Below are 16857 nucleotides of genomic sequence, written 5' to 3'. Positions count from 1 at the left end.
GTTATGAAGAAGAGTTCTTCTCTGATTCAATTCTGGGTGCAATTCCTTCCATAGGTGGGTCCCACCAGCCCCAAAACAGAACCTGTCAGGCTGTCACCCTTTAGAAGGCAGAAGGATGAACCTGTCAACTTCACAGAATGTGGCTAGTCTCATCTCAGACACCTGGGCATGGTTTACAGCTTCTCTGCCCCTGTACTTGGCAGCTATGGCTCCCTATGCCTGGAAGGTTCGCTTTTTTCCTATTGATCCAAATGCTACCTGTTCCTCAAGACTGTCCCACCTGGAGAGAGGGCCTCTTCCCATGGGTCTCCTGGAGCACACACTACCTGAACTCTTCTTGAGGTTTGCTATCCAGGACAAAGACAATGTCTCAAACACCTTCTGTGTTTCTTGTGTCCTGGCAAAGAGATGTGCCCGGCACACATGTGCTCACATTACAGAGGCAGAGAGTGTGGCTCCATCATAGCAGGGTTTGAAGATGGCAAGCCAGTCTTTTGGAATTAGCTAGGATGTTTAGAGGAAGGAGGACGGACCAGATGACCTTTTGATAACCTTCCAACTGTCCCAGTCTCAGCTGTTCCTTTTAGTTATTCTGTTTTTTTAAATTCTTTTAACCCTCCCATGAAAACTGTCATTAGACCTACTAAAATAGCCAAATTGACAGGTTTTCACCTCTTTTCTGTCTCATGAAACATAAATGAGTTATGAAATGGGGGTAGGGAAGGAGCCACAGCCTCGGGGTGATCTGCAAGTTGAGTCAGTAGTTCCTGAGGCCCAATCTGCCCCGCAAGAACTGCCCAAGTCACAAGGGTGAAGAAGAGAAGCCCAAGGCACGTGGGCCCTGAAGAACCCCCAAGGAGGCAAAGATGTCTTACCTTGGTATAAAACAGCAAATCCCTGGGCCTGATTGATGCGATCAGAGAAGAAATACAAGATGACGAAGTCCAGAGAGACGTTGAAGGACAGAGGTGGGCGGCTCCTCCCGTGGAAGCGGGCTAGGACACGGTGGGTGTAGCCATCCAGAAGCTCCACCATGTCCGCCGAGTCCCTGATGTCAAATAGGGGGAAGCTGAAGTGGATGTGGGAGGCCCCCGGAACCCGGATGGTCCAGTAGCAGACCCTCCCCGTGGCATAGGTGTCGGGGAAGTCAGGGGAATAGACCACAGAAGACATGGCTGAGTAGTTCCCACCGCAGGCGCCCACGAGAGCTGTAGGAGAGAAAAAGACACCACGCCCTCAGTCTGGGCCTTTGCCACAGGCGCGCTTCCAACACCAAGGCACTAAAGCCTTCCTAACGAGCAGGATCCCATTTAGGACATTGTTTCTATCTGTAAAACCTGACAGTCACAAAACGAATCGCTGAGACTCTCGAAAAATGACTGTGGAGATGTTTTTCCCCCCAGAGACCTTAGAATTAGCACACAGCACAGTGGTGTGGCCTAGGTTGGGGCAGGGCTGGAGTCAGAGAGTCTGGACTTGGGACTGGCAGGGCCAAGTGATGGCAGGGGCCGCACTTCACTCGCGGGCCTCTTGCTTCTCTCAGTTTCAAGGCTGGAGAGAGCACCATCTGCTCCTGTATCACGGGAATGTGTGATGGCACATGAGACAAAGCACACGAACCACTCAGGCCACTCTGCAGGGAAGCCACCCGATGAGGTAAAGCTGTCAAAAGAGAAGGGCTTTACAGCTGCTTGTGTGTCCCCAGTACCCATGCAACGCTCCCATGAGGGACCACGTTTTCAAGCAGGGAAACTGCAGCACAAGAAATGACTTTCTGCAGTGAGGAAACATGCTAGATTCTGAGCACTCTGTACTGGGCACATTTGCTTTCTCTGGACTCCTGTTTTTGATAGGCATGTTCTAGAAAGGGGATGCAGTGATTTCCTGTCTTACATGGTGAAATGTAAACAAGATCTTAGAACTGAAACTCCTTGGGAGGGAATGTAGGGCTAGGATTCTATTTTTTTTTTTTTTTGAGAAGGAGTCTCCGTCTGTCTCCCAGGCTGGAGTGCAGTGGTGTGATCTCGGCTCACTGCAACCTCCTTCTCCTGGGTTCACACCAATTCTCCTGTCTCAGCCTTCCGAGTAGCTGGGACTACAGGTGTCCACCACCAGGCTGGCTAACTTTTTTTGTATTTTTAGTAGAGATGGGGTTTCACCGTGTTAGCCAGGATGGTCTCGATCTCCTGACCTCGTGATCCACCCGTCCCGGCCTCCCAAAGTGCTGGGATTATAGGCATGTGCCACCGCACCCGGCCAGGGCTAGGATTTAAAAAGCAGGCTTTGGGGGAGTTCTGGTTCCCTTTAGGATGTAGAAAACAACAAGCAGTCCGGGCGCGGTGGCTCACGCCTGTAATCCCAGCACTTTGGGAGGCCAAGGCAGGTGGATCACCTGAGGTCAAGAGTTAAAGACCAGCCTGATCAATATGGTGAAACCCCGTCTCTACTAAAAATACAAAAATTAGCTGGGCGTGGTGGCGTGTGACTATAGTCCCAGCTACTAGGGAGGCTGAGACGGGAGAATTTCTTGAACCCGGGAGCTGGAGGTTGCAGTGAGCCGAGATCACGCTACTGCACTCCAGCCTGGGCAACAGAGTGAGGCTCTGTCTCAAAACAACAACAACAAGTGAATGCTGCTTCTATCCTAACAATGAGAAAAAGCTTAAAACTCAGCTGAGGTCTCATGACAACCAGGGGAACTTAATTCTACAAAATCAAAGCCCCATCAAGGAGAGTCAGGCCACACAAACAGTTTCATCTTTGAGAGAACACAGGAGGAAGAGGTGACCGCCAGAGAAGTAACAAGAAAGCACTAAAATTTTAACAAACTCTTAAAGGCTGAGAGTGGGCTAGTGTCTCAGCTTAGGGCAACTGGGAGTCCCAGACACAACGGGCATTTTGCACTCACTTGTGAGCTTTTCTGCACAGACCTCCACTCAGTGCTTTCACAAGTGACTCGGGTTGGCCAGCAGACCACAGTCCCCCTGAGTGGCATGAGTGTGCAGGAGGTGACAGGCTGCCACTGGCGGACAGGAATGGAATACTGCCCACTTCCTTCTCTTCACACTTGCAGGAAGGGACTCTCCTCTCTAAGAAAGTAAAAGCCTTCGGCAGCTGGGAGAGGGGAAGCAAATCCTGTTACTCCCAGGGCCACTGAAAACAGACAGAAGCAAAATCTGTTTGCCTCTGGGGGAGGGAGTAGACCTGATTTGACTAGAAAAGTCTATACCAAACACCATTTCACAAACCCAAATTTCAGCCTCCTTGAAATTCCCCTTCCTATCAAAGTAACCAGGTGAAGATTCACTGCTTCTAGGGGAAGAACAGAAGCAAAAGCCATTGGTCCCTGATTGCCTTGAGCCCTCTTGAGTCCAGGATACTGCAGCCGATGCAAAGCAGAGCTCTACTACTCCTGGAGGGAGGGCAAGAAATTCTCCTTCCCAAGATCCACCACAGACGCAAGGCAGTGTTTGGCTGCCAGGGAGAGAAGAAGGGTGTGGGAATGCTGAAAAGACCTCAGGCTGGTGGCCTTTACACATCCTGTCTAAGACTGAGGACAGGGCAGGAGAACCAAGAACCACCTCCATGACCTCACCATGAGTACAGCCAGGTAACAAACAGCCATAGCCTACCACTGAGGGAGGGAAAGAGGGTGGAGAAGGAGCCCCTCTGTGGCACAGGCATGTGGGAACTCCTCAAAGCTGAGGATGGAACAGGGCTACTGAGGAAAACTCACGGGTACTCTAGGCTCCACACTAAGCACAAGCTGATAGCAGCCCGTCACTGGAGGAATTTAAAGCCTGATGTGCATTGAGGGTAGTGATAGAAACAACCTAGCTCAACTTCTGATAGACTGGCTCAGTCCCTACACTATGCAGATCTGCCCAGGTGTAAACACTATCTCAGCCCCTAGTGTTCTTCTATACATAGCATATGGCATTCAATAAAAAATTACAACACACATATAAAAGCAAGGGTGGGAGGGGGGAAAGACATTGTTAAAACAATCTACAGAACTAGACTCAATGATGACCCAGATGCTAGAACGATCAGACAGAGACTACATGATGAATACGGTAAATAATCTACTGGAGGCAAGGCATGGTGGCTCATGCCTGTAATCCCAACACTTTGAGGGGCCACGGGAGGAGGATCTCTCAAGGCTAGGAGTTCAAAACCAGCCTGAGGAACACAGTGAGACCCCATCTCTACAAAAATTTTAAAATTAGCCAGGCATGGTGGTGTGTGCCTGCAGTCCCAGCTACTCAGGGTTCTGACGCAGGAGGATCACTTGAGCCCAGCAGGTCAAGGCTGCAGAGAGCTATGATTGCACCATTGCACTCCAGCCTAGGTGGCAGAGTGAGACCTTGTCTCTTAAAAAAAAAAAAAATCTACTGGAAATCAAACAATATTGGAGATGAATTTTTTTTTAATTATAGAATGCTTCATGAATTCGCATGTCATCCTTGCACAGGGGCCATGCTAATATACTCTGTTTTGTTCCAATTTTAGTATATGTGCTGCTGAAGCAAGCACTGAAGAATTCCTTTGATGGGCTTATCAGGATACTAGACACAGCTGAGGAAAGAATCAATAAACATGAAGACAGGTCAATAGAAATTATCCCCAAATGAAACAAAGGGGAAAACAAAGTGAAACAAAGAGAACAGAGCTCCCAACAGCTGTAGGACAATATCAAATAGTCTAACATACGTGTAATTGCAGTGCCAAAAGAAGAAAAAAAGAATGGAACAGAAGAAATGTTTGAAGAGATAATGGTGAAAAATGTTCCAAAATCAGTAAAAGGTGACAAACTACAGATCCAAGAATTTCAGCAAACCCAAGCAAACAAAAAAATTAAAAACAAAAACAAAAGCAAAAAAAACAAACAAAAAAAAACAGACAAAGAAGACACACCTAGACACATCATAGTTAAATGTTGAAAACCAGTCTGGGCATGGTGGCTCATGCCTGTAATCCCAGCACTTTGGGAGGTTAAGGCAGGAGGACTGCTTGAGCCCAGGAGTTCAAGATCAGTCTGGGTAACATAGTGAGACCCTATCTCTATACAAAATTAAAAACTTAGCTGGGTATGGTGGCACATGCCCATAATCCCAGCTACTCAGGAGGCTAAGGCAGGAGGATTGCTTGAGCCCAGGGGGGTCGAGGCTGCAGTGGGCCATGACTGCACTACTGCACTCTAGCCTGGGTGACAGAGTAAGACCCTGTCTCAAAAAAAAAAAAAAGTTGAAAACCAAAACCAAAGATAAAATCTTTTTTCTTTTTTCTTTTTTTTTTTTTTGAGATGGAGTCTCGCTCTGTTGCCCAGGCTGGAGTGCAATGACGCGATCTCTGCTCACTGCAAGCTTCACCTCCTGGGTTCACGCCATTCTCCTGCCTCAGCCTCCCAAGTAGCTGGGACTACAGGCATGCGCCACCTCGCCTGGCTAATTTTTTGTATTTTTAGTAGAGACGGGGTTTCACCGTGTTCGCCAGGATGGTCTCGATCTCCTGACCTCGTGATCCACCCGCCTCGGCCTCCCAAAGTGCTGGGATTACAGGCATGAGCCACCACATCCGGCCTCAAAACCAAAGATAAAATCTTGAAGGCAGGCAAGGAAGAGGAAAAGATTACATACAGGGGAATAAAGATAGAGCAGACATCTCTAAAAACCATACAAGTCACAAGAATATGGACCAATATCTTTGAAGTACTGAAAGAAAAAAGCTGTCAGCACAGAAATCAATACCCAGCAAAAATTACTCAAAAAAATGCAGGTGAAATAAAGCTTTTTCGAACAATAGCTGAAAGAAGCTATTGACAGTCAACCTGTACTAGACAAAATGCTAAAGGAATTTCTTTAGGGGAAAGGAATATACCAGATGGCAAATAAGAATACAAAAAGATGTTCAATATCATTGGTAATTAGAGAAATGCAAATTAAAACCACAATGAGATACTACTACATACCTACTAGAATGGATCACATTTAAAAAACAGATCATACAAAAGTATCTGTAGCTGGAGAGAAAGTGGAGCAAATGAAAATCATACATATTGGTGGTCAGAATGCAAAATGGCACATCCACTTTGGAAAACAGTTGGCAGTGACTTATAATGCTAAATATGCACTTAGCACATGACCCAGCAATCCCACTCCTAGGTAGGTACCCAAGAGAAATGACAACATATGTCCACATAAGCACCTGTACTTGGATGTTTACAACAGCTTTATCATAGACAGACCAATGTTTGTCAATTGGTGAATAGATGAACAGATTGCGATACATCTGTACAAAGGAACGCTTCTTAGCAATAAAAAGGAAAAAAACTACTGATACAGGCAACAACATAGGTGAATCATAAAGCATTATTCTGGCCGGTCGTGGTGGCTCACACCTGTAATCCCAGCACTTTGGGAGGAAAAGGCGGGTGGATCACCTGAGGTCCGGAGTTTGAGACCAGCCTGACCAACCCGGAGAAACCCCATCTCTACTAGAAATACAAAATTAGCCATGTGTGGTGGTGCATGCCTGTAATCCCAGCTACTCCGGAGGCTGAGGCAGGAGAATGGCTTGAACCAGGGAGGCGGAGGTTGCTGTGAGCCAAGATCGCGCCATTGCACTCTAGACTGGGCAACAAGAGTGAAACTCCATCTCAAAAAAAAAAAAAAAAAAAAAAAAGCATTATTCTAAGTGAAAGAAGCCAGAGACAAATGGCTAAATACTGTGATTCCATTTATATAATATTCTGCAAAACACAAAACTATATATATATATACATATATATATACATATATACATATATATACACATATATACATATATATACATATATACATATATATACACATATATACATGTATATATGCATATATATACATGTATATATATACATATATATACACACATATATATACATATATACATATATATACACACATATATACATATACACACACACACACACACACACACACACACACACATATATATATATATATATATATATATATATATATATATGAACAGAATACAGATCAGTTGTTGCTGAGGAGTTGGGTTGGGGAAGGGAACTGACCACAAAGGAGCAGAAAGGAACTTGTGAGGTGATAAAAAAAAAAAGTCCTAATCTCGATTGCTTATATATTTGTCAAATCCCACTGAAGTATACAACTGAAAGGGTGATTTTTACTGTATGTACATTATACCTAAAATTAGAACCTAATTTAAGAAAAAATCAAGCTTTGGAGAAAGACTTCCTGGGTTCTAATCCTGACTTCACCATGTACTAACTATGAATTTGAGCAGGTTACTAAACCTCTGTATATCTCAGTTTATTCATCTATAAAATGAAAATGGTAATAGTTTCTCTCTCGTGGGGTCATGAGAATTAGCAGGAGCAATGCTTATGAAGTGTTCTGTGTAAGATGTGACACACAGTATAAGCTCAGTAAGTGTTGGGTATTCTATTTTTACCATTATTTGAAAAGAATAAAGTATCCAACTGAAACTGGTATTTTTCAATAGCAAGGGCAGACCTTAAACCTAAAACTTTGGATTCCATGCTGACAGCATATTTAATTCAGCAGTTTTGAGAACAGATGATCTTTATGATGGATTATTAAAATTCAGTGATAATCCAACAGGAAACTTGAAATATAGTAGTCAAGACCTTATTTTTTGAAGGAGAGATTAGCCCGACATATACAATCTGGGTGAGTGGAGGGCCCAGGATAGACCTGGGCAAGCCCTCCATGGCAGGGGGCCGGTGTCCTCCTGCCTTCTGTGATTCTCTTCAATCTTCCTGCTCCTTCTCGATACTAGCTGAGTCCATTTCTTTGGGAAGAAGCCTCAGGCACTAGTCATGACAGGCAGCTTCCCGGAACCCCAGCTGAGTGCTCCACTTCTAGACAGGAATGATAATGGGCATGTCTCAGGAAACAAACCTTAGCCAAATGGGTCCCAGCCATGAATCAGATTCCACTCAGGATGGAAAGATTCTACTCTTTCTTGGCACCCAAGAAAGAAGGCTGGTACCATATTTCATCAACTCTAAGGGATACACTTTAATCTTTTAAACTGGGATGTATCTTTTAGTCAATGCATGTCATTGTTAAACTGGAAATACTTTTTCCCTTAATGGTGTATAAAATAATGTTGCACCTCAGAATTGAGGCATCTTAGAGTCTATGAAATGCAATTGCTAACACAGTCCCAGGAGCCAGATCCTACCCATCCTTAGACCAATCACTTTCACAATTAATCTCTTCCCTTCCCACTAAAATAAAGGTTCCATGAAGGCAGGATCTTTATCTGTGGGACCTTGGGCAGATTACTGAACTTTTATGAGCCTCAGTTTTCTCATCTGTAAAATAAGCATAACAGTACCTGCTTCACAGTACTGTGAGAATTAAGGGAGACAACGCATGTAAAGTGAATAGCACAGGCTCCTGTCAATGATAAATGTTCAACTAATGCTACAAAATAAGGTCCAATCCAGATGACTGACCCCTCCCTTCAGGGCCTAGAAGCCAAGGGAGTCCCAACAGGCTAGCCTGGGTAGTTCCTGTAACCCACTGTTGACTCTGGCCTACATGTTCTTCTGTTTGGTTATGTTAATTCAATAAATTATAATCCCTAGGGGTAGCAGAGGCTATGAAGCCCCCGTCAGTGTTGTGCTTGCCCACAGTACACAGCTCACCTCTGTGACCTCTCCAAGTCCATGAGCTTGCTGAAAAATCAGCCAGAGAGTCTGTGACAAATTACTTGATGTGGCAGTGATGACTGAGCAGACAGCTTCTGCCAGCTGCCCCTCACCCTCCACCCCCACTAGCCCCGTCGTCTGTCTGCCAAAGAGCAAACACAGCCTGAGTACTTCTACTGCAGAGGAGCCTGGGTGTTCCTCTAATCAGCAGAGGACAGGAAGATGTCGCTGACACTCTGACTGAGACCCACATGCGAGCCACACTGGTAGCAGGGCCTCATGTTCTGGGAGACAGACTGTAACCTGGTCGTTTCTCACCATCTAACTTCTCCAATATCTTTAGGGAGACATCTTCACCCTCCTAAATCATGGGACAGTCTGTGGTCACCATTTCCAAAGTGCTCAGCCTTGTTCAATGAGTCATAAGGATTTCCATGAGGCGGTACTTGAGCTGTTCAAACTATTTTACTCTCTACTAGATGGACCTTTTTTTTTTTAGATGGAGTCTCACTCTGTCGCCCAGGCTGGAGTACAGTGGTGTGATCTCGGCTCACTGCAACCTCCACCTCCCGGGTTGAAGCGATTCTCCTGCCTCAGCCTCCAGCCTAGAATTACAGGTGTGCACCCCTGTGCCGGCCTCTAGATGCACCTTTAGAGATTATTTATACAGTGCTGCATTTTGTACCTTTCTCAGCAGAGCAATGGGGTGTGAGTTACAGAACTGGCTGCTGTCAGGGGTCCTGTAGACCACAGGCATCTGGGCCTCTGGAGGATGGCGTGAGCAGCCTCTCAGAATGCCAGCCTTCTTAGTCCTTGAGCAAATGCAAGCCAGGAAGGGCAGCTTCTGGAGAGCTGCACAAGGGGCCAATGTGGGAATAATCAGAACTGGGCATACTTTGTTCATATAACTTTAAAGCATAAAACTGGATCCGTTATTATGATCTATTTTTACTATTGTTAATAAAAGGGATTCTAGCTGCTGAAAATAGAAAAATTTCAAATGTGGCAAACCAGGGTTTGAATCCTGGCTCTGGCACTTACTAGCATAGACAAATTACTTCATCTTTTGATCCACAGTTTTCTTATCAACAGGATTGCTACAAGGATTAAATAACATAAAATTCACAAAAGCACTTGGCATCAAGTCTAGCACATGACAAGCACTCAGTAAATAGCAATAATTGTTGTTATAATTAATTCACTTCAGTGCACCTTTATGTGAGGGCCAGTACTCTTTCCTAGTAGTACCAAAGATGCTACTTGGTGTGCACTTTAGAGACTATTTCCATAGTGCTGCATTTACAATTTAATCCAGATTATTTCTGCTTGACACCTCCAGTAAAGGCACTATACTAAAGAAAACATACTTTTATCTACCACACAGCAGATGCCCAATAAAAATGTACTAATTCAAAGACTGTCTTATAAAAACTACATTCTATTTCTTCTTGATCTAAAATCCACCATTTTAACCATTTTAAAGTACAGATGTTCCTTGACTTATAATGGGGTTATGTCCTGATAAACTCATTGTAAATTGAAAATATCAAAGTGAAATATGCATTTAATACCCTGATAAACCTACTGCAAAGTTGAAAAATCATAAGTTGACTGTCCTAAGTTGGGGACTATCTATATATGAATCAGTGGTATTCAGTATATCCACAATGTTATACAATCATCATCCCTAATTCCAGAACATTTTTATCACCCTAAAAAGAAAATCCGTACCTATTAAGCAGTCACTCCATATTCTTCCCCTTCCCCCAGCCCTTGGCAACCCGGAATCTGGCTTCCATTTGTGTGGCTTTGCCTATTCTGGACATTTCATATAAATGAGATCATAAAATATGTAGCCCTTTGCATCTGGTTCTTTCATTTAGAATAATGGTTTCAAGGTTCATCCATGTTGTAGCATGCCTCAGTACTTTATTTATTTTTATGGTTGAATAATATTCCATCATATGGATATCCACTTTGTTTATCCATTCATCAGCTGATAGACATTTGGTTTGCTGCCGCTTTTTGGCTATTATGAATAATGTTGCTAGGAACATTGGTATGTATGTTTTTTGTGGAAACATGTTTTCAGTTCTCTCAGGTATATACCTAAGAATGGAATTGCTGGGTCATACAGTTACTCTCTGTTCACGTTTTGAGGAAATGCCAGACTGTTTACTTTTTTTTTTTGAGATGGAGTCTCGCTCTGTCGCCAGGCAGAGCGCTATCTCAGCTCACTGCAACCTCCACCTCCTGGGTTCAAGTGATTCTTGTGCCTCAGCCTCCCGAGTAGCTGGGATTACAGGCACGTGTGCCACCACAACCAGCTAATTTTTGTATTTTTAGTAGAGATGGGGTTTCACCATGTTGGCCAGGCTGGCCAGACTGTTTTCCAAAGCAGCTGCACCATTTTACATTCCCACCAGCAATGTATGAGGGTTCCAATTTCTCCATATATCTGTGGACACTCATTTTCCATTTTTTAATTGACACTGCATTCTATTTAAAGTCAAAAAACAGGTAGTAAACCCTCACACTACTCCTCTTTCCTCTCTAGCACCTCTCTAGTGGTTTCTTAGCAGTATGAATCCCAGCAAGTTATTTATCCTGTCCATGTCATGTGGCTGTCTTCTGTGAAATGAGAGTAATCACAATAACCCCTACTTCAGAAGGGTGCCAAGAGAACCGAATGTGATAATTTAGATAAGGCCTTCATGCATACTAGGTACTCAAGAAACATTTCCTTTGTTTTTTCACTTAAGAGTATACCAGGCATTCTGCAAGTTCAGAAAACTTACTCTCCTGAGTTACAGTGTTAAGGCAGAGAATCTTATAATAATGAACTCTAGAATAAAAGGTTAAATAGATGTGCAGTGGGTAGTTATTTGCCAACTAAGCATTAGCAAGATTCGTTAATCATTAGCCAAAGTTCAGTCTTTAGCCAAAACAAAGGTATCAAACTAAGCATTGGTCTGGACATAACAGGATGTATAGGAATCAACTGGCAGTCTCCAATGGGCACACTTAGCTAAAAAAACCAATTGACTGTAAGTTCTGTTCACTAATCCTGTCTTCCCACCCCAAATACAAACACACTTTAGATAATATCTAAGCTATAACATGTAAAAGGCTCAGTTATAAACCTTGGCTGGGTTTTATAGTCACCATATATATAGTGGCTGAATTGTGTCCCCTAGAAAGATAAGTTCGAGTCCTAACACCTGGTACCTGTGAATGTTATGTAACCGAGTTAAGATGAGGCTATACTAAATTAAGGTGGGCCCTAAATCCAATGATTGGTTCCTTTTAAGGAGACACACAGAGACATAGACACACAGACACACACAGAGGGAAGATGGCCATGTGAAAGAGAAGGCAGAGACTGGAGTGGTGCAGCCAACAAATGCCAAGGATCGCCGACAACCACCAGAAGTGAGGAGGGCTTCCCTGGAGACTTTGGAGAGAGCACAGCCCTGCTGACACCTCGATTTTGGATTTCTAGCCTCCAGAACTGTCAGAGAATGAATGTTTGTTGTTTTAAGCCACCCAGTTGGTGATAATCTGTTATGGCAGTCCTAGGAAACTAATAAACCATATGTCATTTTTGCTCAAAACTAGCCATGCTGCCTGGTTGAGATGCCAGTAGCGCACCTCCTCTAGCCTAAAGGCCAAAGACACCACAGACACTACAATATTTCTTGGTAATCTCGAGCCTTTTTTTTTTTTTGTCTGCCTCCACTATCTTTAAATCTGGTGCTGCACAGCGCTGTAATTATCATAAAGTTTCACTGCCACTGAGAGGATGCTGGTGGATTATGATGAGGAATCAGCTGGCTCAGTGGTTAGAACATGATGTTGGTGAGGTCAAGGCCCTGGATCCACTCCCATTCTGAACACACTCTGCCCCTGGCCAGTATCTCACAAATGCGGCAGTTTAGAGAGGAGGTGGGTCAGGGCAAACCCAATGCCAGGCCTGAAAAAACAACTTAGAGCTACGCTGTCTCCTCAGGTCTATCACAATAATATATAAATCCCAAATGCCTAAAAAAAAAACAGTCAAAAGGGTTTGGAAATTATATTAAAGCAAGAGTATAATAAAGCTGATACTGGATTGTTATATTAGTGTCTATGTAAAATTGGAAAGGTTATCATTTCTGGGTTGTCTAAGCATCACAGAATAGGCCACGTTGCTTCAAACCGTTTGGCATGACTGTAGCTAATCCCTTTTTAAGTGTCTGTTCTCTCTTCCAGAAGGCAGGGGCTGAGTCTTCATGCACTGTGCTGTATTCCCAGGGTCTAGTCACAAGTATTGTCTATTGCCAAGTGAATGAATGAATACATAGAAGGGAGGGAGGGTGGGCAGGCTTGTTGCTCTGGTCCAAGGGTTCCTGTGCCTTGGGCAGTGATGGGCACAGGGCATACTCACTATCAAAGAGGATGATCCTGCCATCGCCACCACAGGGTTGGGTGTGATCCCCGAAGCAGACGCTGTTGCATTCGGTACTGGCTGCCTCCCCGTACTTCCAGTAATCAGGATTGTTTCCACAGAAGCAAGCATAGCCTGACTCCATCCCAGCAAACTGCCACAACAGAGAAGCAGCACACGGTAAGCATCATCAGGGATGTCAGATGGCCTGAAGGAGCCTGGCAGGGTGGGCTTCCAGCAAGCAATCAGCCTCAACTTCCCAGGGTCCCTTCCCCTGGGACCTCCCCCTTCTTCCACTCTTGCAACACTTAATTTCAAGCTGAACAATAAGTACGCAACCACCAATGTGTTTCCCTGTCGGCGAGCATCACTTTTTAATGTTTGTGTTTCTACTGCACTTCAGTAAGTTTTAAGGGGGAGAAAATCTCATAAACTTCAAATGTGAGTAACAGCTAAACATTTTATTGACTGTTTACTATGAGCCAGGCAGTGAGTGCTTTATAGCTAACCCTCAAAGCAAACACATTATAGGCCCCATTTTACAATTTTGTTTTTACATTGCTATATAGTATTTTGGCATATAGTTCTATAAATTTTAACACTTGTATAGATTTGTGTAACCACAGCCGGGCATGGTGGCTTACGTCTGTAATCCCAGCACTTTGGGAGGCCGAGGCAGGTGGATCACTTGAGATCAGGAGTTAGAGACCAGTCTGGCCAACAAAGTGAAACCCCGTCTCTACTAAAAATACAAATATTAGCCAGGTGTGGTCGTGGGCACCTGTAATCCCAACTGCTTGGGAGGCTGAGGCAGGAGATTTGCTTGAACCCTGGAGGTGGATGTTGCAGTGAGCCGAGACTGCATCACTGCACTGCAGCCTGGGCAACACAGTGAGACTCTGTCTCAAAGAAAAAAAAAAAAAAGATTTGTGCAACCACCAGTACAATCAGGATTCAGAACAGCTCCATTACCCCAATAATTTTCTTTGCACTATTGCTTTATAGGCCCCCTCCCCCAGAAACCCTGGCAACCACTGACGCATTTTCCTTTACTGTAGTTTTGTCTTTTCGAAAATGTCACATAAATAGAATCATATAGTATGTAATCTTTTTGAGACTGGCTTCTTTCAGTCAGCATAATGTCTTTGAGAGTCATCCAAATTGGTGTTTGTATCAATAGTTTACTCCTTCTTATTGCTGAGCAGAGTTCATTGTATGGATGTATCACAGCTTGTTTATCTGTTGGGCTGTTTCTAGTTATTCATAATTATGAATAGAACTGCTATAAGCATTTGTGTACTGATTTTTATGTGAATATAAGTTTTCATGTCTCTAGGGTAATAACTAGGAATGGAATTACTAGGTCATATGGTAGATGTATATTTAACTTTATAAAAAAGTGCCAAACTTTTTCCAGAATGACTACCATTCTAGATCTGCACCAACAATATATGAAAGTCCCAGTTGCTCTGTATCCTTGTCAGCACTTGTTATTTTCAGTATATTTTATTTTAGCCATTTTAATAGGTATGTAGTGATATCTCATTTTAGTTTTAATTGGCATTACCTTAATGGCTAATGATGTCGACTATATCTTCTTTTTCTTTCTTTGTTTTCTTTTGTTTTTCAGATAGAGTCTCACTCTGTCATCCAGGTTGGAGTACAGTGGTATGATGTTGGCTCACCGCAACCTCCACCTCCCAGGTGCAAGCAATTGTCCTGTCTCAGCTTCCCGAGTAACTGGGACTACAGGTGTGCTACCACGCCCAGCTAATTTTTGTATTTTTAGTAGAGACAGGGTTTTGCCATGTTGGCCAGGCTGGTCTCAAACTCCTGACCTCAAGTGATCCTCCTGCCTTGGCCTCCCAAAGTGCTGGGATTACAGGCTTGAGCCACCACGCCCAGATGACTATCTTTTCATGTGCTTATTTGTCATCTGTATATCTTCTTTGGCTTCTTTTCATATGCTTATTTGCCATCTGTATATCTTCTGTTCAGGTCTTTTGCCCATTTTTAAATTGCTTTGTTCAGTTTTTTTAACTATTGAGTTGTTTGGCTTTTTTTTTTTTTAATTTTACACATTATGGATACAAGTCCTTTGTCACATATGTGATTTGCAAATATTTTCTCCCAGGCTATAGCTTGTCTTTTCATCCTGTTAAAAATATCTTTCACAGAGCAAGATCTTTACATTTTTATGAAGTCCAAATTAAAATGTACCAATTTTTTCTCATGATGGGTCGTGCTTTTGGTGCCTCATGTGAGAACTTTTTGCCTAAACTCAAGTCATGAAGATTTTCTCTTATATCGTCTTCTAGAAGTTTTATAATTTTACATTTTACAGTTAGATTTGGGATACATTTTGAGTTCAGTATGTAGTCTTGTGTTTAAGTTCTTTCAATTAGCCTACTGTTTTGGAGATTCATCCACGTTGTATATAACAGTATGTCTTTTTTTTTTTTTTTTTTTTTTTTTTGAGACAGAGTCTCGCCCTGTTGCCCAGGCTGGAGTGCAGTGGTGCGATCTCGGCTCACTACAGCAACCTCCGCCTCCTGTGTTCAAGCAATTCTCCCGCCTCAGCCTCCTGAGTAGCTGGGATTACAGGCACACACCACCATGCCCGGCTAATTTTTGTATTTTTAGTACAGACGGGGTTTCACCATGTTGGTCAGGCTGGTCTCCAACTCCTGACCTCGTGATCCACCCACCTTGGCCTCCCAAAGTGCTGGGATTATAGGCATGAGCCACCGTGCCCAGCCAGTAGGTCTTAATATGTCTCTTCGTTTTATTGCTGAGTGGTATTCCACAGTATGGATATACTGTACTTTATTTCTCCATTCATCAGTTAATGGACGTTTAGATTATTTACAGTTTGGAGCTATTATGAATAATGCTGCTATGAACATTCATATATAAGTCTTGATGTGAACACAGGTTTTCATTTATCTTGGGTAACTATCCAGGCGTGATATTGCTGAGTTTTAAGGTATGTGCATATTTAACTTTGAAAGAAACTTTAAGATCTTTCTTCAAAGAAGCTGTAGCATTTTACATTCCTACTAGCAGTCTATGAGAGTTCAGTTGCTCCACATCCTTATCAATTCTTAGTATTTTCAGTATTAACTTCAGACATCCTGAAGTGGTGTGCAGTGGTATCTCATTGTGGTTTTAATTTGTATTTCCCTGACAACTGGTGATGCTGAGCATCTTTTCATGTGTTTATTGGCCATCTATGTATTTTTGGGGGATAAAATGTCTCTTCAAATTTTTTGCTGATTTTTAAAATCAAGTTGTCATATTGTTGAGCTGTAAGTGTTCTTTATATATTCTGTATACAAGTCCTTTATCAGATATATATTTAACAACTACTTTCTCCTAGTCTGTGGTCTGCCTTTCATATTCTTAACTCTATTTTTTGAAGATAATATTTTAATATTGATAAGTTCAATTTACCAACTTTTTAAAATGATTTGTTTTTGTGTCCAATTTATAAATCTTTGTCTAACCCAATATTTTAGGATTTTCTGTTTATTTTTCTAGAAGTTTAGTTATTTTAGGTTTTTTAAAAACTGAAATGTAATTCACATAACATAACATTCACTGTTTCAGTGTATATTTCAGTGGTTATTGGTATAGTCACTGTGTTGTGCAGTCACTGCCATCTAATTCCAGAACATTCATAACCCAGAAAAGAAATTCTGTGTTGATTAGCAGTTAGTACCAA

The 16857-nt window shown here is 42.9% G+C and overlaps 1 protein-coding gene and 1 pseudogene across 6 annotated transcripts in view, besides 1 other annotated feature; both read right to left on the bottom strand.

Moving 5' to 3' along the window:
• Positions 1 to 16857, bottom strand: part of KREMEN1 (kringle containing transmembrane protein 1) — a 95299-nt gene that overhangs the window by 29784 nt on the left and 48658 nt on the right. For 4 of the 6 annotated variants that reach the window (NM_032045.5, XM_011530429.3, NM_001039570.3 and 1 more), the window contains 2 exons: positions 13134 to 13287; positions 876 to 1208 (listed from right to left, as the gene is read on the bottom strand). In NM_032045.5, the coding sequence (NP_114434.3) occupies positions 876 to 1208; positions 13134 to 13287 (487 nt within the window). The remainder of the gene's footprint in view (positions 1 to 875; positions 1209 to 13133; positions 13288 to 16857) is intronic. The other 2 variants (XM_011530430.3, XM_017028989.2) reach the window with 1 other exon arrangement.
• RNU6-810P (RNA, U6 small nuclear 810, pseudogene) lies at positions 4430 to 4536 on the bottom strand (annotated as a pseudogene).
• Positions 9342 to 9550: a silencer, noted in NCBI's record as "fragment chr22:29524988-29525196 (GRCh37/hg19 assembly coordinates)". NCBI's record gives its function as "represses an EF-1alpha promoter that drives an FKBP-Casp9 reporter gene in an ReSE screen in K562 erythroleukemia cells {active_cell/tissue: K562}" and the evidence as "EXISTENCE:reporter gene assay evidence [ECO:0000049][PMID:32094911]".

Source organism: Homo sapiens, chromosome 22 (genome assembly GCF_000001405.40).
Source record: "Homo sapiens chromosome 22, GRCh38.p14 Primary Assembly".
In the NCBI taxonomy this organism is placed as follows: Eukaryota; Metazoa; Chordata; class Mammalia; order Primates; family Hominidae; genus Homo; species Homo sapiens.
Note: the sequence above shows the minus strand (reverse complement) of the source record. Positions and strands in the feature narration are given on the sequence as shown.